Here is a 25,355-nt window from a genome sequence, read left to right as displayed (position 1 = left end):
TGGCTAAAAAGAAAAGAAACCACATTTCACAAATAATGCTAATGAATAAGGTTTAGGAGGAAATAATTTTGGAAATACAAATAATGTGCTGATGAGATAATGATAGAGACAGGAGGCAGGGAAATTCTGGGCACAATAGGGCTGGTCCCGGACAAGGGCCCCACCCTCAAGCCAAAAAGCCTGATACTGCGGCCCAAAGTGAGAAGGTACATCCCTGTTTTCCTGCTTGAATGTTGTCTTTTCTGATACCACCCATAGCCCACTCTGCCCCCATCATGTGCCTATAAAAATCCCAGAACTCAGCCAGGAGAGAGGAGAAGCAGCTGGATGACAGAAACTATGGTTGGACATTGGAGGGAAGCAGTTTGACTTCAGAGGGGCAGCTTGACAGTGCAGCTTCAGAGATGAGTCTGGTGCAGCTTCAGAGAGGAGTCCAGGAATGGCCAGACTCCAGAGGAAGATTACCTTCCTGCTCTGTTCTTCCCATTGAGAGCCACTCTCATCAGCAATAAAATCCCCTGTGTTTACCATCTTCAGTTTATTCACGCGACCTCATTCCTCCTGGACACTGCACAAGAACTTGGGTGCCACAAGTGCAGGTGCAAAAGGCTGTCACACTAACCCTCCACTGAGCTGTTAACACTTAAACTGTCTGTGGACAGAAAAGCGAAAGAGTCACTGTAACACTCCTTCTGGGGCTTCAGGGGTCGTGAGCAACCCACTAGATGCTGCTGCAGGGCACACACGGAGTTTTGCCCCTGCCAGAGCCCAAAAGTGCTTGCCCTCACTCCTGCACCTGCTCACCTGTGCTCCCCATCCCACAAGGAGTGGAACAAGGGGTGGAAAAAAAATTATATTCTGTGATCACAGGTAGTTTCAGAAAAACTCACAATCCTTGCTTTTCTTCTCCTGTCACGCCACCATAACAATAAGCATCAACACAGAAGAAGACTTTTGTGACCAAATATGTGGTTTTTTCCCCACCATCAAGCTAGTAACTAATTCTACAACAGACACTAACTGGGTGTCCTCCAAGTCAGTTTCAACACTATCTACATGGAAATAGTGTCAGATCCCACAGGTTGAGGGCTCAGTCCCCAGGACTGCCCTTTAGACATCAGTCACAAGTCCAGGCCTCTGGCCTCTGGAACTTCTTTTTCTTTTAGAGACGGAGTCTCACTCTGCCACCCAGGCTGGAGTGTAGTGGCATGATCATGGCTCACTGCAACCTCCACCTCCTGGGTTCAACAATTCTCCTGCCTCAGCCTCCCGAGTAGCTGGGACTACAGGTGTATGCTGCCACACCCGTTTAATTTTTTGTATTTTAGTTGAGATGAGGTTTCACCATGTTGCCCATGCTGGTCTTGAACTCCTGAGCTCAGGAAATCCACCTGCCTTGGCCTCCCAAAGTGCTAGGATTACAGGTGTGAGCCACCATGCCTGGCCTGGAACTTCTGATTGATGGTCTTCAATTTGGGGTTTTAATTTGCTGGATTGGCTCACAAAAATCAGGGAACACTTAGGTTTATCATTTATTGTCAAGGATATTACAAAGGATACAGATGAAGAGACTCATAGGATGAAGTATGTGAAAAGGGGCACAGAGCTTCCATGTCCTCCCTGGGCCTACCCTCCTCCAGAAACCTCCATATGTTCACCTATCCAGAAGCTCTTTGAACTGTGTCCTCTTGGGTTTTTATAGAGACTTCACTAAGTAGGCCTAAATAATTAAACCATTGGCCATTGCTGATCAGCTTGACCTTCAGTCCTTACCTTTCTCAGGAGTCTGGGGGTTGGGGCTGAAAGTCCCAACACTTTAATTATGCCTTTGTCTCAGGTGATCATCCCCACCCTGAAGCTATCAGCCAACATTAGCATGCAAAAAGATAGCACTTTGGAAATTCCAAGGATTTTTAAAGTTGTATACCAGGAAACATGGATGCAGACCAAACAGGTATTTTAAATATCACAGGGGTACACAATCAAAGATGATTACTCCCGTAAGAGCAGACATGTGGGGAAAAGGCCATACTTAACTTTAAATATATATGGACTCCGTCTCTTGATATAACCCTGAGAAGGAATGCAGGTGCTTCCTTTTTAAGAAGACAAGACAAATTCTTCTTAAGACATTTAAAATTCCCTGTTTAATTTTTCTGGAACTTAACCTTCATAGGCAAGCACTGGGAAGCCTTATATTTTCATTTAATTTATCAAATAGATTTGGTTTAGGAGATGACATTTCTTCCTTTGAGCTGTAAATGAACTTACCAGCCTTGGGTAAGCAGAATGGGCTCCAACCTGAGTTTCCCTGAGGGCCTTCAGCGAGCAATAGCAATAACAACATAAAGTATTTCCAGTGGATTCAAATCCAAACATGATAGAAGCTTTGTTTCTTTGACAATAGTAATAATTAATAGTGGCTTCCTCAGGGGATGTATTGAGTATATAACACTCAGCAAACACAGTGTCTTTAATGTCAGGCCTCTGAGCCCAAGCTAAGACATCATATCCCCTGTGACCTGCACGTATACATCCAGATGGCCTGAAGCAACTGTAGGTCCACCAAAGAAGTGAAAATAGCCAGTTCCTGCCTTAACTGATGACATTCCACCACTGTGATTTGTTCCTGCCCCACCCTAACTGTCAATTGACTTTGTGACAATACACCCTCCAGGCCCTTGTGATAATGTGATAATGTACTTTGTGATATTCCCCTGCCCTTGTGAATGTACTTTACATGATACACCCTCCCTACCCTTGAGAAAGTACTTTGTAATATCCTCCCCCGCCCTTAAGAAGGTACTTTGTAATATTCTGCCCCGCCCTTAAGAAGGTACTTTGTAATATTCTGCCCCGCCCTTTAGAAGGTACTTTGTAATATTCTCCCTGCCCTTGAGAATGTACTTTGTAAGATCCAGCCCCTGCCCATGAAAAAATTGCTCCTAACTCCACCACCTATCCCATACCTATAAGAACTAACGATAATCCCACCACCCTTTGCTGACTTTCTTTTCGGACTCAGCCTGCCTGCAGCCAGGTGATTAAAAAGCTTTATTGCTCACACAAAGCCTATTTGGTGGTCTCTTCACATGGATGCGCATGACAGTTAAATATAATGAATCTCAAGTTTCTCTTCAAAGAATCAGTATGTCAGTATGTTCAGCTCTCTTACTCTTTGATTCCCCATTTTAAAGTTTAACTTCCTGGTTCTCTTACTTCCCTTGCTTCCAGTTTCAGTAAACAACTTTCCTGCCAGTCCTAATCAGTAGTTCACATCTGTTCCCTGGTTACCTGCTCTGTCCTGACTCATCCCGGTCACCTGCTTTGACCTAAGTCACCCCGGTCACCTGCCCCATCCTGACTCATCCCAGTCACCTGCTTTGACCCAAGTTACTCCTGGTCACCTGCTCTAACCTAAGTCACCTCTAGTTACCTGTTCCTAACCATCCTTCCCTCCAAACCACTTACCCCACCACTCTGGCTTATACCCCTGCCCTCTTTAAAATAGCCAGTCGGAATTAGCTAAGACTGTGCAGTCCAGCCCTAGCCAGTAGGGGAACAACACAGCAGTAGGGGCTACCTGCGTCAGGAATAAGAGCTCCTTCCCTTCCCCTGTCCAGGTGTGTTCTCGCCATTACCCCATTTGTGAGTCACACCCTTCTATAGAAGTAAAAATTGCCTTGCTGAGAGAATTAAATTTACATTCAAGTGCTATTCCTTCACGGCACTGAGGAGCAAGCATTTTGCATTTCCAGCAGTGTCATAAATATTTAATAAGTGAGGAGGGAAAAAAGGGAAAAAAATTAAAGAAAGAAAGAAAATAGAGATTAAAAAAGAGAAAAAAACAAGCTACCTGTGTTAGGCTGATTCATTTCAAAGGCAGTAACAGGCAAAGTTTCGATAACGTTATCTAAGAGCCACAGCTCAGAGGAACGTGCTCTGAAGACTCTCCCAACACTCCCTCAACATAAGGATGTGAAGAGATAAGTGTTCCTATCTCTCCTTTAGTGTAAGTAAACTTCCCCCTTGAATCCCATCCCCTCTGCTATGTAAACTATACCTTGCTCCTTGCTCTGTAAGTTTTATGAGTTTCTGTTTTTCCTATAGTTAATGATTGTAGGTTCCTGCTTCTTGATCTAAGCAGTATAGCCTGAGCAGTTCTAGCTTGTAGCCAGCTAGGCACCGTGGTAGGGGTCGCAAGATGAGTCTTTGTGAAACTCCTTTGAACTAACCAGATAACGACCATTTGGGCTGCATAGTAATGAGTATACTAAACCTGAGTTATAAGCTTGTCTTAGTTTGATTAACGGCCTTTGTCTTGCCTCTGTACATTCGCATTTGCGCCACTTAGGAGTAGGTATATAAGCAAAACCTTGATTTTGTTCTGGGCCCAGTTTTTTGGACGTTGAGTCAGCTGGGCTGGAGTGCACTCAATAAAAGATTCTCCTGCTATACCCTGAGGTCTCCCTTGCCCTCCTGATTTTCTACAACATGAGTAGTAGTTACTCTTAACTTGCTGCATGTATTAACTTATCCAGAAGCCTATCTTTGTATTTCCTGTCACACACTCCCCAACGCCTTCCATCCCCTCCTTTAACTGAGAACTCAGCTTCTCTCCATTCTTCTGCAAACCAAAAATCAATTTCTAAGCCCTCCAACAGACTGAATGGACTCCTCTCTTGGCCAATGGGATTCCCAAGAAATCTGAAAAAGTATTTCAGGCCATGATGGGAAGGGGGTTGGACATGCCTCATTATACTCTCCTCCCTTTGGAATTCAGACACAACCAACCAGCACTAACATTAAAACGGATCTTTAGACTGACAAAACTGACTGTTTGTAGTAAGAAGATAAAAAATTCCAATCTGACTGTAGTATAGCATCACATGACAGATAGCAGGCCCTGAAATAAATCAAAGTATTTTACCCTAAAATTTATTTCTTTGACATATTTTGAAATGGCCTCACAAAACTCTCTTGTGGGGGATATTTATGCTTTGTAGAGAATCCCCTTCCCAGGTCTTTTTCTGATCCCAAAGAGATTAGCTGAGAGTCTAACACTTTTTAAAGGTCAGAATAGGAAACTTTTGGTATCTCTTGCCTCTAAGGGCAGCCACCTGTAAGACTTTATAATAAAGACTTTGGTCTCTACAATCCCTTATCTATTTTTTTTCTTTGTTTTGAGACAGAGTTGCACTCTTGTCACCCAGGTTGGAGTGCAATGGCACGATCTTGGCTCACTGCAACTTCCGCTTCCCTGCCTCAGCCTCCTGAGTAGCTGGGATTACAGGTGTCTGCCACCACGCCCAGCCAATTTTTGTATTTTTAGTAGAGACGGGGTTTCACCATGTTGGCCAGGCTGATCTCGAACTCTTAACCTCAGGTGATCTGCCCACCTCAGCCTCCCAAAATGCTGGGATTACAGACGTGAGCCACCGCACCCAGCCCACAACCCATGGTCTTAACCCAGACACTCCTTTCTATTGAATCAGGTCTTTAGATAATAATTTAACTTTTTCAGACAATTTCCAATCAGAAAATCTTTGAATCCACTGTTAAAGCAAACTAAATACGGCCTGAGAAGGACTCCATACTTCCATATTTGAGTCCTTGTGAATGAACTGCAACTTAGCTTAATAGGCAGACGAGATTGAATACCTAATTTAGGAGTATGTGCCTGTAACAATAGCTGACTGCTGATGCCTTGCCTAAAACATATTGTGCTTTTTTGTATGTCAGCAGGAGTTGGTGGGTATTTATCCTTAAGGTCGTATCAATGTTTCCTGCTAGGGTCTGAAAAGGCACCTTAATTATTCCTAATTCCTACCCATGTGCAATGCGTTTTGTGCTCTTTCACAGTCACCAGCCTTAGGTGTAACGGGGTATTCTGGCAGCTCCCAAATCTTGTAAACTGAAAAGACTAATTTCAGTGTTCCTAAGTCATACTGATAATGTTAGCATGTGGAATTTGCACTGGGTAAGCAGGGCTGCCAATGGTTATTTCTAGCTTCTCAATGGCAAAAGCCACAAAAGCCACAGAAGCCACAGTTTCATATTCATTTTTTTCTTACCTATGTCTAGTACAGTGCCTAAAATTGAAATGTTTAGCAAATGGCTTCATAATTGTGTCAAATAAATGAATTCCAAAAAGATTCATAGTGCAAAATAAATAAGATCTAGGTACAAGAAAGATCACTTAAGAGCAAACACAAATGTAATTTTCTGTTATTTTTAAGGAAGCTAGTTTTTTGACCTGGGGTGTTTAACAAAGATTTCTCTTTTACCTGCAGTGTTTTGTTCTCAGTTATTAATGGATCAGCATTTTTTTTCCAGAGCACCCACCTATTTTTTCTGTAACCTTGAACTTCTACTTAATTTTTCTGTGTTAGTTGCTTCTACAAAGGCACTGCAGTTTCTGAAAACAAAGCGATGCAACTTAAGCCCTCCTATTGTGGATGAAACAGGACTTTGGGATGTGGCCATTGTCAGCAGCAGGGAATCAGAGATCACAGGAAAATTGAAGTCTAGACTCATGGTATACTTGGAAGGATGACTTACTATTATTGTTTTTTGTATGAATACTTCCTGCAGTGGTATAAAAGAGACATGAGATAAGAGAGATGGGCCGTCCAAATCATTTAGACCAAGTGCAAAATTAGGACAAAAATGTCTCTCTCTCTCTCTTTTTTTTGAGTCAGTGTCTCACTCTGTCACCCAGGCTGTAGTACAGTGACATCATCATGGCTCACTGCAGCCTGGACACCCTGGGCTCAAGTGATCCTCCTGCCTCAGTGTCCCAATTATGTGGGACTAGCCTTGTGTGCCATCATGCCCAGATAATTTTTTAGTTTTTAAATATTTGTAGAGATGGGGTCCTACTATGCTGTCCAGGTTGGTCTTGAACTAGCCTCAAGTGACTCCTGCCTTGGCCTCCCAAAGGGCTGGAATTACAGTTGTGAGCCACCATGCCCAGCTTAAAATGTCTCTTTTTTGTTTTGAATTTTTCATCTACATTTTGTCTCTCTTCTATTCCTCACTTTGCTTTTATGAAGAACTCAAATATAGGCTGACTGAAGCCTTATTTTCCTTAGTGTCACCTGACTTCATTTCCTTCTCATAATTTCATAGTTAAATATTCAAATTTTTTAATTAATAACTTATAAATCCATAATTTAATGTAACCTATAGGGAATCTTTTTAGTTACTTTACGTATATGCATTTTCTCTGTACTAATCATTCCTGAAAATCTGGCTTTAAAATAGAATTTATATATTAAATTTCTTATTAGCATTTGAAAAAAAACTTGCTTATTTTGGAAAGCATGTAAGTTATTTTTAAATTTTTTGAAAAGTTATCTTGATATCGGTCCCCAATCTATTTCTATTGTCTAATATTGGGTCCCATCATACATTACATTACTTTTTTGGATCTTATTATTAGTATGAGATCCCTACGGTTAACAGCTCTAGGCTGGGTGTGGTGGCTTATGCCTGTAATCCCAGCACTTTGGGAGGCTGAAGTGGGTGGATCACCTGAGGTCGGGAGTTCAAGACCAGCCTGACCAACATTGTGAAACCCTGTCTCTACTAAAAATACAAAATTAGCTGGGTGTGGTGGCGCATGCCTGCAATCCTAGCTACTCAGGAGGCTGAGGCAGGATAATCACTTGAACCCAGGAGGCAGAGGTTGCAGTGAGCCAAGATCATGCCATTGCACTCCAGCCTGGTGACAGAGCAAGACTGTGTCTCAAAAAAAAAGCTCTGAAGTGGGGGATGGTTAGGATGTGTATCAGCTTTTTATGAATTTGGCAATTACTTCCACCTGTCTTGCATTCATCAAAAAGTACAAAGTATAACCATGATGAGAACTAACAACTGGTAAAGGGAGAATATAAGAATTAGGCGTTATTATTGGACCTATTTTACATAACACTACATAAGAGGGTACTTACAGTAATACAAAACTTTTCCAAGGTTGTGTATATTTAGCAAGCAGATGGATTTCTATAATAATGGTATCTGTTTTTTTCTCTTAAAATCAACTTTATTACTATAATTTGCATACAGCCAAGATATTTAAGTGTGCAGTAGATTAGTTTTAATGAAAGTATGCAGTACTCCTCCCTCACCCACAGGAAATATGTTCCAAGACCCCCAGTGTATGCCTGAAAGTGCAGATATAACCAAACCATATAAATACTATATTTTTCCCTATACATACTTACTATGATAAAGTTTAATTTATAAATTAGCCACAGTGAGAGGTTAACAATAACTTAAAAAAGAACAATTATAACAATATACTATATTACATGGTTTATGTCTCTCAAAATATCTTATACATTCTTAAACATTTTCAGAAAGCAGTTGGTGTAGATAACTGAAACTGCAGAAGAGAAAACTGTGAATAAAAGGGAACAACTGTACCCTTACAACCACCACTGTAATCAAGAGGTATAACAGCTTCATCAGTTCAGTAAGTTTCCTCATGCTCCTTTGCTTTGATCTTCACTCCCTACCCAACCCTAGGCAACTGCAAATCAGCTGTCACTATAAATCACACTGCCTGTCTGAAATAATACAGTATGTAACCTTTTGTATATAGCTTTTTCATTAAGTATGTTTTAAGATTCTTCCATATTTTTGTAAGTATCAGTAGTGTGTAGATTTTTATTTTTTATTTATGGAGTGATATTCCATTGTAGCAATATACGATAGTTTGCTAATTTATTTACCTGCTGATGATAATTTGGGTTGCTTATAATTTTAGGCTATTATTAATAAAGCTGCTACAAACATTAGTGCTGAGGTCTTTCTTTCTTTTTTTTTTTGGAGACGGAGTCTTGCTCTATCGCTCAGGCTGGAGTGCAGTGGTGCGATCTTGGCTCACTGCAAGCTCCGCCTCCCGGGTTCACGCCATTCTCCTGCCTCAACCTCCCCAGTAGCTGGGACCACAGGCGCCCGCCACCACGCCCGGCTAATTTTTTGTATTTTTAGTAGAGACGGGGTTTCACTGTGTTAGCCAGGATGGTCTCGATCTCCTGACCTCGTGATCTGCCTGCCTCGGCCCCGCAAAGTGCTGGGATTACAGGCTTGAGCCACCGTGCCAGGCCTAGTGCTAAGGTATTTCTATGGGAATAGATTTTCATTTTTCTCGGGGAAATATTTAGAATGAAAGTGCTAGGTCATATGGTTTGTATATTTTCAACATGATTAAGAAACTGGCAAACTGTTTTCTACAGTGGTTATACTACTATTTTACATTCTACTTAGCAATGTATCAGAATTTTAGTTCTATCAATTGGTATTGTCAGTCTTTTAAAATAAGTGTGTACTGTTATTTCATTATTGTTTTAATTTACATTTTCCTGGTGACTAATGATGTTGAGTATATTTTCATGGCTTATTGGCCAGTTGTATATCTTCATTTGTAAAATGAATGTTCAAATTTACTTTACACAGACTAATTATGAGAACCCTGACTAGAGAACTAGAGAACTAGATAACCCTCTCTAGAGAACCTTGACTAATACAGATTTTGGTTGCAGGGGTGGTTTTAGAGGAACAGAGTATTAAGGATGGGGTCCTTTCGTTGGTTTTAGGGTTTCTGGAGGTGACTGTTTAATATCATTAGACCTTATTATTTGCTTATTTTAAAAATGTGTGTGTTTGTATGGGTTTTTTGTTTGTTTGTTTTGTAGATAGCATGTAGTTTGTTGGTCCTGCTTTGTTCCACAGCCTGACAGTCTGCTTTTTAAATTGGGGTGTTTAGACCATTTACATTTAATTGGATGATCAAAATAGTGGGGATAAAGTTTTGATCTTGCCAGTAGCTTTGATTTGTCCAACATTATCTCCTTTCCCCCATATTATCCTGCTTTCTCTTGGATTCAGTATCTTCTACTACTTTATTTTATAGCAACTGTTGGTCTATTAGCTATACTTATTTGTTTTAGTAGTTTCTATAGGGTTACAATATACATCTTTAAGTTATCATAATGTAATATTAACTTTTCACATATTTTAGCACTTCATAGTATAAGAACAGTATGTTTTCATTCTTACCTCCTGTCCTTTGTGCTATTATTATCAAGTGTTTTATTTCTACACAAGTTATAAACAAAATTTATAGATTTTTCTTTAAACAGTTATCACTTAAGTAAATTTTAAAATGAGTAATATATCTTATATTTACTCACATACTTACCACTTTCAGCACTCTTTATTCCTTGTGCACATTTAAATTTCTATCTGGTATAATTTTCCACCAGCCAGAAGAACTTTCTTTAACATTAATTATGGTGCAGGTGTGGTGGCAATGAATTCTCTGTCTTTATTTGTTTAAAAATATCTTTATTTGCCTTAATTTCCAGAGTTTTTATTTTTTAAACTGGCTTACCAACTTTTTTTCCTTTAGTGTATGAAAGGTGTTATTCTATTTTCTTCCAACTTATATTGTTTAAATAAATTCTTATATTTATTCCCTGTATTTAAAGTGTCTTTTTTTCTCTGGCTCCTTAAGATTGTCTCTTTATCCAGCTTGAGGTTTGCTGATATTTGAGGGTCTGTGGGTTTATAGGGTTTTTTTTAGGGCTTATGTATTTTATTTTTTATTGCTTTCATGTTTATTTATTTTTATTTATAATCACTTATGCCTTAGGATTGTCATGAGTGTACATTAGAGTACTATAATATCAACTTTTATTTTAGATTTAGAGGGTATATGTGCAGGTTTGTTACATGGGTTTATTGCATGATACTCAGGTTTGAGGTATAAATGATTCCATCACCCAAGCAGTGAGTACTATATAGTACTCAATAGTTAGTTTTGCAGTCCCTGCACTCCTCCTTCCCTCCCGCTTCCAGTAGTCCCTGTGTCTGTTGCTTCCATCTTTATGCACATGTGTACCCAATGTTTAGCTCCCACTTCTAAGTGAGAACATGCAGTATTTGTTTTTCTGTTCCTCCATTAAGTCACTTAGGATAATGGATTGAAAGACTCAATATCATTAAAATGGGCATACTTCCCAAAGCAACCTACTGATTCAATGCTATCACAATCAAACTACCAATGTCTTTTTCGGTAGGAGAACCTTGACTAGTTGTGAGGACCCCTAATTGCATTCATGTTGCTGTAAAGGGCATGATTTTGTTATAACTAGAACATCATATTTCAAGTTCTTCAGTTTTGAGACTCGGACTGGCTCTCCTTGCTCCTCAAGCTTGCAGGCAGCCTATTGTAAGATCTTGTGATCATGTAAGTTAATAATAAACTCCTCTTTATATATATAAAATATATCTATATATTACATATGACAGCCATAAACTCCCCTATATATATATAGGGGCATATATATATATATATATATATATATATATATATATATATATATATATAAAAGGGCATATATATATGTATACTTATATATATATGTATACATATATATACACACTTTTAGTTCTGTCCCTCTAGAGAACCCTGACTAATACATGAATGCATGTATTTTTTTTGTAGAGTGATTTATTTTCTTTTGGGTATATACCCAGTAATGGAATTGCTGAGTCAAATGGTAGTTGTTTTAAGTTCTATGAGAAATCTTCAAACTGATTTCCACACTGGCTGAACTGATTTACATTCCCATCAATAGTGTATAAGTGTTCCTTTTTCTCTGCAGCCTCACCGGCATCTATTATTTTTTGACTTTTTAACAAAAGCCTTTCTGACTGACATGAGATAGTATCTCAGTGTGGGTTTGATTTGCATTGCTCTAACAATGAGTAACATTGAGCATTTTCTCAGGTTTGTTGGCTGCTCATATGTCTTTTTCTGAGAAGTGTCTTTTCATGTCCTTTGCCCACTTTTTAATGGGGTTGTTTGACTTTTGCTTGCTGAGTTGTTTAAGTTCCTTATAGATTATGGGTATTAGTTTTTTGTTGGATTCATAGTTTGCAAATATTTTCTCCTGTTCTGTAGCTTATATGTTTACTCTGTTAATAGTTTTTATTTCTGTGAAGAAGTCCTTTAGTTTAGTTAGGTCCCTTTTGTCAATTTTTGTTTTTGTTGCAATTGCTTTTGAAGACTTAGTCATAAATTCTTTCCCAACGCTGACATCCAGAATGATGTTTCCTAGGTTTTCTTCTAGGATTCCTATAATTTGAGGTCTTACATTTAATTGTGTAATCCATCTTGAGTTAATTTTTGTATATGGTGAAAGGTAGAGGTCCAGCTTTATTCTGCATATGGCTAGCCAGCTATCCCAGCACCATTTATTGAATACAGAGTCCTTTCCTCTTTGCTTATTTTGTCAACTTTCTTGAAGATCAGATGATTGTAGGTGTGTGGCTTTGTTTCTAGGTTCTCCATTCTGTTCCATTGGTATGTATCTTTTTATACCAGTACCATACTGTTTTGGTTACTGTAGCTTCATTAGCATAGTTTGAAGTTTATATATATATATATATATATATATATATATATATATATATATATATATATGTAATGTGATGCCTCCAGCTTTGTTCTTTTTGCTTAGGATTTCCTTGGCTACTTGTACTTATTTTTGTTCCATATGAATTTTAGCATAGTTTTTCCAGTTCTGTGAAAAAGGCCATTGGTAGTTTGATTGGGATAGCTTTGAATAAGTAGGTTGCTTTGGAAGTATGGCCATTATAATGATATTGATTCTTTCAATCCATGAGTGTGGAATGTTTTTCCATTTGTGTCATATGTAATTTCTTTCAGCAGTGTTTTGTGTTTATCTTTTATGTGCAGTATACAATCTGTTGTCAAGCAAATGCAGTAGTTTTTAAATTTCAAAATTATGGTTTTCATCTCTAGATGTCTTTTTTTAATCTTCCCTTTGTCTCCTCATTATCTTCACATTAAAAAAAATTCTGAACATATTTGTGATAGCTTTTCAAAACCTTTTGTCTACTAATTCCATAAGCTCTGTCATTCCTAGGTCTATTTCTATTGACTTGTTTTCTTTTACTTACATGTTACATTTTTCTGCATCTTTTTATGTTTAGTATTTTTTTTTTTTCTTTTGAGACAGAGTCTTGCTCTGTCAATCAGACTGGAGTTTAGTAGCACAATCATGACTCACTGCAGCCTTAACCTCCCAGACTCAAGGATCCTTCTATTTCAGTCTCCTGAGCAGCTGGGACCACAAGTGCATGCTACCATGCCTGGTTAACTTATTATTATTTGTAACCTAGAGTTGGCATTTCCTTGTCTGTGTAAGTTGGGGTGATAGTGCCTACTTCATAGAAATACCAGTGATTAGAAATAATTGTGTAAAATGGTCTAGCATAATTCCCAAAATGTGGTAGGAAAGTACTCTTACTGATAACTACATGGTTAGGACCTTCATCACTATCATCATCATTAGCAGCATCATTGTAATTGGTTGCTTTGTTACAAAGAATATGTGTGTGTGTGGATAGGGGTATATATATATATATATATATATATATATATATATATATATGTATACACATACACACTTTTGGTTTTGTTATGTTGCTTAGAAGACTGATGGGACTATGTTAAATAGTTTAGCTTATATTACATAATTGGTTATGTCCTTATAATAAATAAAAACAAATTTTTCTTTTACAGAAATGTTATGGTGGTAGTAATCATTGAGAGATTCCTCCCAGGATCCCCCTCCCTCCAAATATTTTTTAGTGAGTGGCGTTATATGCAAATACCATGCCTATTGAATTTTTGTTGTGGTGATGGCATTTCATATAAATAAATTACTTTGACCTTTAATAAATCATTTAACTATTGCCTATCCAGATAGCATTAAGTAAAATCTAAGAAATGTACCAAGGATACCACTTATATATTAACTTCAGCTTAGAAACTCTATGTGCCACTTTTTTTCCCTTTATTATTTTCAGAGGGAATATCCTCTCTGTTGCCATGTATGGTGATATTGATGTCCAATTTCTGTCAGCTGTCTTTGTGACTCTAAATCAGAGATCAGCAAACTATAATCCATGAGCCACACTTGACTCACCATCTATTTTTGTGATAAAACTTTACTTGAAACACAGGCACACCCATTTGTTTATGTATTATCTATGGCTGCTTTTGTGCTATAGTGGCAGAGTTCAGTACTTGCAACAGAGAATTTATGACCTATAAAGCCTAAAATACATTCTTTTTCAGAAATGTTAACTAGTATAGTTGTAGTAATCATTGAGAGATTCTCTGGTCTTTTACAGGCATTTGCAAATTCCTTCTTTAAATCAATAAATCCCACACTTTGGAACTCTGCTGGTCCTTGTGGGCCATATGTTTGGTCAGCCTTTACGATTCATAAACTAGAAACAGCAATTTCCTAAGATGAGCCCTGAAATAGTTTCAAACTGTCCTTTTAAAATATAAGCATTGGTATCACGATGTTTTGATTTTTAAAAAGTCATTTGAAAATAATTTGTAACATAGTTTTTTAGCTTGATATATATCCTTACTTAACAAATGCTAATAATAATTTTAAGAAGGGTGGGGTGGGCCTATATTTTCTCTGTAAGGATATAAATAATCCATACTCTACTTGTAATTTTACTTGTAATTATTTCCCATATCCTCCATTTCCTTTCAAAGCAAGGGAAGTGTCACTGTTTTCCAGAAAAGTCTTGTTTTCTCTCAATTGGTAGCCTATGCTTGCTGTGCAATGATAAGAAGTTCATTTTGCAAAGTAAGCTCTTAGAGATACATGGTGTAATTATCATGTGATGATGGAACAAAAGCCAACCAAGTATTGCCAACTTATCTGGCTAGGCAATTTTTCTCTTCAGAGAACAGACTGCTAACACTGTATCATGCTAGTTACATTGGCTACTTTCAAATTTGTAGGATGAAATTGAGAAAGCAATCATTGTTGAGGGTATGGGGCGTGGAATGGGAATGAAGAGCTCTCTCTCCTCTCTCTCAAATCTTTTGAGAAGAGAAGGCTAAGTTCAGGCAGCTAGAAAATACACACAAACTCTTGATTTTAGTAAATCACTTGAGAGCAGACAGGTGCATGATACAACAGGTAGCTCTAAAAATGTTAAAATACAACAGCATAGATGCCAAGAGATATCCTCTCCCTAAAGCCAGCCTCCAGTTTGATTTTGTGCCAGGGGTTAAATATTAGAAGCTTTAGGCCAGGTGCAGTGGCTCACGCCTGTAATTACAGCAATTTGGGAGGCCGAGGTGGGCGGATCACCTGGGGTCAGGACTTGGAGACCAGCCTAGCTAACATGGCAAAACCCTGTCTCTACTAAAAATACAAAAAGCCCGGCATGGTGGTGCATGCCTGTAATTCCAGCTACTCGGGAGGGTGAGGCAGGAGAATCACTTGAACCTTGGAGGCAGAGGTTGCAGTGAGCTGAGATCGTGCTACTGAATTCCAGCCTGGGTGACAGAGTGAGACTCCATCTCAAAAATACAATACAATACAATACAATACAATACAATACAATACAATACAATACAATACATAAAAAAATAAAATATTAGAAGCTTTATAAAAAGTCATTTTGTTTCTAAAGCAACTTTGCATTTTAAAGATCCATCTCTTTTGTATCCATCTGAAATAAATTTTGCACTCTCTGATTCATTTCCTATTTCATGATGATACTTTTCCTTTCTAAAACTTTCTCTTAATATTTTTAGAATTATTAATATCTTTCATTTCTTTGCTGTATGCCATTTTTCTGATTTAATTAAAATAAACTTTTCCATTCCCTGTTTCATCTAATTTCTTCCAAAAGTTCTGGGAAAATATTTCCTCCCATGAAAGGTATCTACATTTTTAATAGATTTAACTTCAGCATATTCAATGCTTATTATTGCCAAGGTGCTGTTCCAGGAGATTTTGGGAGATAAAAGGAAAGGACAAAACATGGACTCTCCTCAAATTTTTTATGTTAGTTATATGTAAATTTTTGCTAGTTATAAAATTTGGGAACAATGATAGATGGGTGGATATTAATAGAGTAGAACAGCATCCATGTTACATTATATAAGTAGGTCATAATAATAGTGTAGACAAAATATACTGCTGTGAAAGCATTAGCAGTTTATTTTTGTGTAGTTTTAAAAGGTGGTCATCGTTCACATGTGGAGGGCTTCGCTCTCTCTCCCATGCCATCTTCACATCAGAAAGAATCCACGTATCTTATCTGCTTAGTTATTATTCTCTGTCAGTCTCTTTGGGATTACAGTTATTCTGCTTAGTTCTCTTAAATCTGTGGCATCAGAGTGGATCTACTTTATGTGTTTTTCATTCTCTCTCCAAGTAGATCCATGTCTGGACTGGCTCTAGCATCTAATTTATGGGATTATCATTGCTAATCTAGCAACTAGTCCTTCCTCTCCTCCATCTTCTCTGATTTATTTCCTATAAACAGAGCTAGTTAATGAATAAATTACCTTGTTTATGTGCCCATAGGGATCATAATAGTAAGAACTGTCATATACTGGAGAGAGAATAGAGTAATGGTTAAGTCTTTAAATCCACATTGCCTAGGTTTAAACCCTTGCTCTGTTACATAGATGGACAGTTGCAGGCAAGTCATTTGCCTTTCTGTTTCCTATGTCAAAAGGAAATATTGACAGCATTTGACTCACACTCAGTGGAGCAGATTAAATGAGGTTATTCCTGTAAAGTGTATAGAAGGGTATTAGGCATAGAGAGACCACTTGATAAATGATGTTTTATTACCATTAAAGATGAGCAGGCAGGCTTGGAAAAAGATCTCCCTCTTCTACTTTTGATTTTGAAGATAAAAGCATGTCCCTGTCCACACTTTTAGGATTTCACATCTTTGTGGTCAGTATTTGCTGTGGGAGGCCATGAATAAATGTAATAAATTGGGATGACTTTCTGAAAAACAAAAGGTTTAGGTTGTGATTAAAGAAAACTTGTGATAGGGCGAACAGTAGGAAAGAAATTGCCAACTGTGCCAGACATCAGTATTGAAGAGTAAAGAACAATTGTTAGGATGCATCTAAAATTAATGTGGCTGGAAAAGTATGCAGAGTTTATGAGGATGATGAAAATTCTCATCTTTAGGAAAGTCATGTTACAAAAGGGAAGGTCACCTTGATGACTGCCATGGAGCTGCCTGGTATGTGATGATATAGGGCCCAGCTGTCCCAGTATAGATTGTTCCATGATGGAGAGTTTTACATCCTTTGTGGGCAAGTCTGTACTGAAGCCTGGAAACCAGAATTGGAAATTCTGGATTAGATCCATTTGGAAAGTCTTGATTATTTCCTAGTTTCATGTTTTAGAATTTTTCTACAATGTGTTGACAGTTGGCCTCTGCCTTAACATCTCTTGAGCTCTAATGGATCCCTGTACAGCAGGATTAATGATTCCTCTTTTGAACAGTTCTGATATACAGCAAGGCATTTTAACTTTCAGCTACTGATAGTCTCCTCATTATTTATACTCCTAGTTGTAGAGTTTCTTCTTTTCCCTCTGCTATGGTCTGAATGTTTGTCTCCCCAGAAATTTATTTGTATGTTGAAAGCATAACCCCAAAGGTGATGGTATTAAGAGGTGGACTTTTGGAAAGTGATTAGGTCATGAGGGTAGAGTCCTCATAAATGAGATTAATACCCTTATAAAAAAAGGCCCAAGGGGGCTTGCTAGCCCCTTCCACCCTGTGAGGACACAATGTGAAGGCACCATCTATGAACAAGAAAGCAGGCTCTCATCAGACACCACATCTGCTGCTCATTGATCTTGGACTTTCCAGCCTCCTAGAACTCTGAGAAAAAAAATTCTGTTGTGCATAAGCCATCCAGTTTGTATATAGGAATTTTTTTTATAGCAGTGAGTAAGCCAAATGGACTAAGGCTCTCATCGCAGCTTGATCGTATATCTATCCCGGCAATTACCATAATTGTTTACTTGCCCCAATAATGTTAACATATCACAATTACACTGACCAAGACTGATCTTTGACAAGTCATCAAAACTTTGAGGACAACTGTGACTGCAAACTAGTCTCCAGCAATTTTTATCCACCTTACAAAAAATGTTATTTGTGAAAATATATCTTGGTGTATATTTTTAAAAATTTGATTGTTCTCTTTAAGTATTGATATTTTATGCTTGTTCCAGTTTGTGTACATCTTGAGAGAGTCATAACACTGTTGATTACATGTGCTGCTTACCTCCTTAAATCATTATTGTAAAGCCTTCTGGCTTCTTTGGCTAACCTTACAAAACCATAGGACGTTTTGGTATTCATTCCAAATAGGCTATGATATCTTTAATTTCAGAGATATGCCTTTGTTTTTTAGGAGCTCTTGTGCCTAACACAGTGCCTAGCACTGTTAAAATTTTCAATATGTTTCCATGGATGAATAATAAAATGAAAATGTCACTAAATTATTAAACATTTTTTCTTAGAGAAAAGGAGACCCTACATTACTTTTACTTTTCCTGAAATATTTAGGAAGCTCCCTGATTCTTCTGGGAATGTAACATTAGTTGAAATCATTAGGACTTTAGTATTTTTGCTTATGATTGTTTCTTTTCATTTCTTGAGTGCACATTTTGAATTAGTTTCAGAAACTGAGTTTTGGAACCTCTGAGCCATGCTATTAACCAAGTCATTTAGCAGTATGAAAGTGTTTTCAGGGAGATAGATCCAGAGAAAATAATTTCCCTTCTCACCACTGAGTAGAACTTTGGAAACTGCCATTTTACCTCCCGAAGTTAGTGATAGCAGTGAGTAGCTTCTGTATCTATTCTAAACGCAACCTTCCACAGTGCTCTTATAAAGCTCACATTGGCATCCCTGAACATCCCCGTTAATTAAGAATTCGCAGCCCTGTTTCTCCTTCATTCTCCTCCATGGCTGTGCTGTCAGGTTTTGCTCTTCTTCCTTAGTAACAGAAACTGAAATTAGAATTCCGAGTGGAGGCATCACTCCCTGAGGAGACTGAGAACACCACACTCTTCTGAACTTGCTCTTTCTCAGAGCATCTGTCAGTTATGGCTCACTTGTTAAAATGTGGACATTTCACCATTCTGTCATTCACTTAGAAATAGTGTATACCCCTTGGGCAAGTAGTTTCTTTGCAGAAAGAAGTGTAACAGAAATTCTTAGTTAATAAATCATTATTTTAACCATGCCCTCATGAACATAACCAACACTTTTCTCAAATAGCCTGTTGGTAGATAACTCCAATTTAAAGTCCTTTTGACATAAATGCGGGTATTAATATCTACCTCACTGGGTTGTTATAGCTATTAAGTGGCTAATGTATTTAAATTGGTTTGCATTATGGCAGAGAAATAACAGGCAATTAATAAAGCTTATTATTTTTAATATTTTTATAGTAATAAGTTCATATGTAACTTAAATAAACTGCTAATTATTTAACTAAATTTCCAGAGAGCCTAGGGAGAGAGCAATAATCTTACTGTAAGTCAGCCCTAAAATTGCAGTCATAAACGTGAAGGATCAACCTGTTTTTATTTTGTACATTTCTTTTAAATCAATTAAATTTGATGAATTTTGAATAGAAAACAGATAGTTGACAAGAAAGGAGCTATCATATCACTGTTAATGAATGCATGGGTGCAAAAGGAGTTTGATGTATCATAGTGAAGACGTAAGTTTGTTCCCGGACCAAACCGAGGGTCAGGCTGCTTATTCTCACAGCCCAATAACGAGATGCAGATGAACTGGGAAAGAAGGGAGGTTTTCATTTCTGTAACTGGTTACAGGGAGAAGGCCTGGAAATTATTAGCAGACCAACTCAAAATTACAAATTCCAGAGCTTGTATATCTTCTAAGCTTCATGTCTACATGTAAGTGTGCATTAATCTAAAGACATAAGTGATTAACTTCTTTTAATCTGTAACTAAGATCTGAGTCCTGAAGACCTTCCTCTGGAGCCCCAGTAAGTTTACTTAATCTAGATGGGTCCAGGCGCCAGGGGTGATTACCCTTATCTTGTCTCCTTCTAAATCATGGAGGTTTGGGGAGTTCCTTCAGTCCCCAATAAAGCTTGTTTGTGGAGGTCTGGGGAATTCCTTCAGATCACCAATAAAATTTTTTTAATCCTAAACGAGTTCTATTAAGAATTCCTTTGTTATCTTGTCGTGTTTCAAGGCCCAGGAAAGGCCAAAGCCAAACTCTTGGTGGGCTTTTGTTACATTCCAGCCTTTGTATGAGGGCACTGGCTCTATCAGCTGTTAACATTTAATCTAACTACTCAGTCAGTGCTGAAACAGTTGTAATGGAGGCCTGCATTAGTGAGACCTGGCCTGCCACTAGTTGACATACCTGCACCTTCCTATAATGTAGTATTTTTATTTTCTGTTTTAAAGCCCAAGGAGGACTGATTTTGGTAGCTCGATTTTAAAGGCCATTTCCTTTCTTAACTTCAGTTTCAGCTTAAGTATGTGTTTAAAAGCTTAATAAGTATACATAAAGCTGCTAAGTTTATATTTAATGTAATACACCAAACATATATAGGCTGTTGATTTTTTTCTGAATAATATTAATTTTGTCTTTATTTTACACACCTCCAATTTAATGTGCAGTTGAAGTGATAACTGTTTCTTATGAAGAAATTAACTGATTATTTCACTTAAATTTGTGTTAAGAGTTACAGCAACTTGCTTTCCAAAAATAGACAAGCAGTAAGGTGGAAAGGATTTTTGTTACGTTTACCGTATTGTTTTTGAAAACGTGGTACCTTTTCTAAAGTTTGTAAACTTGTTAATTATCTTGGCATTTTCTGGGGTTGGAACAGTTTCAAAATAAATTCACATATTTTCACTGTGATAGTCGGAATTTCTTTGCCAAAATTGACTTAAACAGGCAAAGCTTAGTATGGTTTACAAAAGAGGATTATTTAAATTTATTTTTAGTAATCTGCCCCAATTCCTCATTTGCTATTATGAACTTGCTGAGGCAGACATGTAATTTCTCTGGACCTTTTCAAATCTTTATGTGAACCTTTAAGTATGTAATTGAGGGCAGTTTTCAGTCTCTCGCTTGTATTAATTCTACGTGTGTGTTTAAAAAAAGGATATGTAATAGATTGGTGCAGGAATCCCATACAAAAGGCAGAATTGCACGTAATTTTTACCGTAAGTATTGAAACTAGGGATCACATTTATATGCCTACATAGATAAGTCATCAGGTGTTTTGGAAAATTAGAGACAAAAAGTTTTGTACAATATTACTTTTCTGTTGTTGTTGCAGAAATTCAGTCTCAGGAGGTAATGGTTTTGCAAAGGTGCTGGGAAGTGGTAGCATTCCAGATACATTCTGAACATAGAGACCACAGGATTTCCTGACGATTGGATTAAGTTTACGAAAAATACAGGCATCAAGAATGGCCCTAAGAATTTTGGCCTAAGCAACTGGAAAGATGGAGTCACCATCCTGTGAGAGAGGAAGACTAAAGATGAAGCATTTTTTCAGGCAAATATTGAATTTCAGAGATGTTATTTTTTTTTTTTTACTTAAAGACTTGTGTGATAGTAATAGAAATGTTCATTTTGAGATACCTATTACACATCAGTGAATAACTTCTCTTTGTTTTCCAGAATCCTCTTCTACTCTTCTCCTTTACCCTATTCTCCAATAGACTGATCTATGTTCATTTCATTGGTAGATCTCTATGCCCTTTGGCTCCCGATTATGTTCAGTCAATGGGGAGCGCACAGATGGGAGAGGGAAGGAAAGTGAGGTTTTTAGATCTATTCTCCTGGCTTCCTCACGGTCCTATTTTTTTCTCAGGTTCTCTGTATTACTTACCCGAGCACATGTTACCACTATTCTCCTGGTGGCCTCATCTATATGATTCTCTCCTTCCAGTTTTTAGTAACTGCCTCTTCCCCTTACTGTTTTGGACCTGCAGGTCTTAACGGCTCTGTTGCTGCTGACCCAGAGTCATTGTACTAACTACCCTCGATCCCCCATCCCCTCCCTACAACTTTGTAAATAGTCACTTTGTAAACAAACCTTCCTCAAATCTTCTAAATTTGGCCTGCCTTCTTGTTCTTATCAGGACCATAAATGCTATAACATCCAAGTAGAACCATTCTCCCTCTCTGGGAAGTGGCTGGGGTTAAACGCATTGCTCATGTTCATGTCTCTTTCTCCTTTGGAATGGCTAATCAGAAACTCAAAAGAATGCAGCCACTTGTGTCTCACCCATCTGTGCCCTAGAAGCTACCTCCCTGTTTCCAGTCTTCCTGCCTTTGTTTCAAGTTGTCCCACCTTTCCAGACTGAACCAATGTACTTCTTACATATATTGTCTCATGTCTTCCTAAAATGTATAAAATGTATAAAGCCAAGCTGTGCCCCAGCTACCTTGGGCACATGTCGTCAGGACTTCCTGAGGCTGCGTTATGGGTGCGTCCTCAACCTTGGAAAAATAAACTTTCTAAATTAACTGAGACCTGTCTCAGATTTTCTGGGTTCACATACTTTTCTCTGCAGCTGAGTCAGTCCTCAGAGTATTGACCTCACCTCTGTATTCCAGCCTGATTTCAGTCCTAGTGAATGAATGGCAGAGGTGGTTTTTGAATGGGTAACAGGTGGAGAAGGAGGAGGAGTGGGGTTTGGGGCTGAATGCTTGGAAGCAGGAGGGGCCACCAGGGCGGAGGATTTGGATTGGTAAGGAGTGGATGCAGGGGGATAAGAATACAGAGGGGGTTTATCTGCAGGGTCAAAAGGAGTTTTGGAGGAAGGAGAGACCTGGGGAGGGTTTTTATTAAGAAGAAAGATTTTGTGAGAGGTGCAAGCTTGACACAGGGAGGGTTGATATTTAAGGTAAAAGTAGAAGAAGGCCTGAATATAGAGAACCTCTTGCCATTTTCCATTCCTGGTTATAAAGTTGTTCAATTCCTGAGAATTTGCAAGTTAAAGGTGCCATTTTCAGGCCATTGGCTGTCATTATCTAATGTGTTTTGGTGCCAGGCCGTGTTACAGTAAAAGACTAAACACTTAAGCCAAGTTTGGTGAGGTCATGAAGGAGACAGCACAGTGGAGAGGGTATAGGAATGTGGGATTTTTTAGCATCCATGTGGATTCGTGAGAAGCAGCCCAGGGTGTCTGTTTTTGTTCTAGGCATCCCCAGACAAAAGACAGAGACCCAGAATCCTCTTTCTAAAGAGGATGGTCAAACTGAGAAGAACACTGGGCATCCCCAAGACTTCTTTTAGCTTAGTCTCGCTGGTCCTCCGAGGACGTGGACAGTGGACCTGACTTCCCGGGTACTGTGAGAAAACCAGGGGAGGGCAGATCTTACCAGTCAGCTGGATTAGTGTCCGATGTTGGATGTTCCAGTTGGAATCAGCAAAGGACCTCTTGGACTGCAGCTGCACGATGGAGAGAGAGAGAAAAAGAGAGAGAGAGAGAGAGAGAGAAAGGGAGGATGAGGGAAAAGTGAAGTGAGAGAAAAGACAGGGCAGGTGGCCAGAGACCCTCAGGATCCAGGAGTGAACTTAGGATGAGCGGCCATTGCCCACTGCTTCCCGGGTTGCAAGGGAGCCTCTGCCCCCAGCACTCGTCCCAGGTTTTGGCACCAAATGTAAGAGTTAAAGAAAGAGGTAAGAAACACGAAACGTGCCACATTTTCTTAATCCAGTCTATCATTGTTGGACATTTGGGTTGGTTCCAAGTCTTTGCTATTGTGAATAGTGCCACAGTAAACATACATGTGCATCTGTCTTTATAGCAGCATGATTTATAATCCTTCGGGTTAAGAAAATGTGGCACATGTACACCATGGAATACTATGCAGCCATAAAAAAGGATGAGTTCATGTCCTTTGTGGGACATGGCTGAAGCTGGAAACCATCATTCTCAGCAAACTATCGCAAGGACAAAAAACCAAACGCCACATGTTCTCACTCATAGGTGGGAATTGAACAATAAGAACACATGGACACAGGAAGGGGAACATCGCACACCGGGGCCTGTTATGGGGTGGGCGGAGGGGGAGGGATAGCATTAGGAGATATACCTAATGTTAAATGACAAGTTAATGGGTGCAGCACACCAACATGGCACATGTATATATATGTAACAAACCTGCACGTTGTGCACATGTACCCTAAAACTTAAAGTATAATTAAAAAAAAAAAAGAAAATGTTAAATAAACACTCTTTGATGAACTAAAAAAAAAAAAAAGAAAGAAACACGAAACGTGGCTTGGCAGTCAAAGACAGGTTTTCTTTAGTTAAAACCTGAGAGGTGCTCCTGGCCGATTGAGGTCAGGAGTGCTTTCTCTTACAGACTAAGAGTATATATTGATTTTAGGGTGAGGGGGGGTTTATCATAAGCTTGGAATGTTTATGTGTGTAAAGAAGTTTATAGTGGGGTTGGAATCTCTCTGGGAGGAGGGGAGGTTATCTGGGGCAGACATCTTTCGGGTCCTAAGAGGGGTTATCTCGAGGCTAGCATCTTCCCAGCTGGAGGGGCTTATCTAGGGGCCAGCATGTCTGGTTGGGGAGGAGTTTGGAATGTGTCTGGTTGGAGATGTTATTTGTGGTTTATGGTTATGCTGACCTTAGCCATTACACTGATGCCCTTTGGATTTAGGTGGTTTTTTATTAATGTGAACTTTAGAATGAGGGGCTTGTCCAAGATGGCAATGCTCCTGCTCTGTTAGTAAGTGCTTGATCAATATTGAATAAGTTAACAAACTGTGATATAAAATCTGTGATAAGACAATTCTCACATTCAGGGAAGAGTATGAGGGTTCAAAGGTTTAGAGGGAGTTGGGTAGGGTAGTAGTGGAAAGTGAAAGTGAGATACAAAAGAGGAATTTAGGTGCAGGAACTATCAATAAATTACCAACTTCACAGTTTTGTCTAGACCTGCCCATGCTGAACTTTTAGGAAAAAAACTAGAGACATCATGATAAAGCTGGAGATTAGCATATTTAGAGGATCTGAAGTAGTACATTGTATTGCATAGGTTGGAAATGGGTATTTTGTTCCTTAAATATTCAGATAGTAGATATAGACACAGTTTCTGGAGAAATAACCCTCAGCATATTCTATCTATATCAGGGAAAGTTCCACTGAAAGAGGCTTCCAATCCTCTGTGATTAAGGGTGAAACTCTATAAAATTTCAAGCCTGTGGAATGAAAAGATACTGTTCTTATTCCCACATGTTTGGTAGATTTGGAGAGTTTTGGTGTTGAGATTTTACTGAGCTGTGTCTAATGTTATACTAGGTAGGCTGTGTTTACAGGGACCAGAAGGGATTGTATGATTATTTCAATTTAAAAACTCAACTAATAATGGAATATATTAAGCTACAATGCCAAGAAGGATTTAAATGTTTCTTGTTT

General features: G+C 38.5%; 1 long non-coding RNA gene across 3 annotated transcripts in view, besides 3 other annotated features; it reads left to right on the top strand.

Annotated features, from left to right (window-relative positions):
• The window catches only part of LINC02277 (long intergenic non-protein coding RNA 2277), an 89,356-nt gene that overhangs the window by 28,701 nt on the left and 35,300 nt on the right, over nucleotides 1-25,355 (top strand). The gene's annotated exons all lie outside the window — the stretch shown is intronic.
• Nucleotides 2,593-2,793: a silencer, noted in NCBI's record as "peak2144 fragment used in MPRA reporter construct". NCBI's record gives its function as "represses an SCP1 promoter by STARR-seq MPRAs in K562 erythroleukemia cells {active_cell/tissue: K562}" and the evidence as "EXISTENCE:reporter gene assay evidence [ECO:0000049][PMID:32103011]".
• Nucleotides 3,886-4,180: an enhancer, noted in NCBI's record as "tiled region #10127; K562 Activating non-DNase unmatched - State 9:DNaseU". NCBI's record gives its function as "activates a minimal TATA promoter and a strong SV40 promoter by Sharpr-MPRA in K562 cells {active_cell/tissue: K562}" and the evidence as "EXISTENCE:reporter gene assay evidence [ECO:0000049][PMID:27701403]".
• Nucleotides 13,903-14,103: a silencer, noted in NCBI's record as "peak2143 fragment used in MPRA reporter construct". NCBI's record gives its function as "represses an SCP1 promoter by STARR-seq MPRAs in K562 erythroleukemia cells {active_cell/tissue: K562}" and the evidence as "EXISTENCE:reporter gene assay evidence [ECO:0000049][PMID:32103011]".

This window comes from Homo sapiens, chromosome 14, assembly GCF_000001405.40.
Source record: "Homo sapiens chromosome 14, GRCh38.p14 Primary Assembly".
NCBI classification, from domain to species: Eukaryota; Metazoa; Chordata; class Mammalia; order Primates; family Hominidae; genus Homo; species Homo sapiens.
Note: the sequence above shows the minus strand (reverse complement) of the source record. Positions and strands in the feature narration are given on the sequence as shown.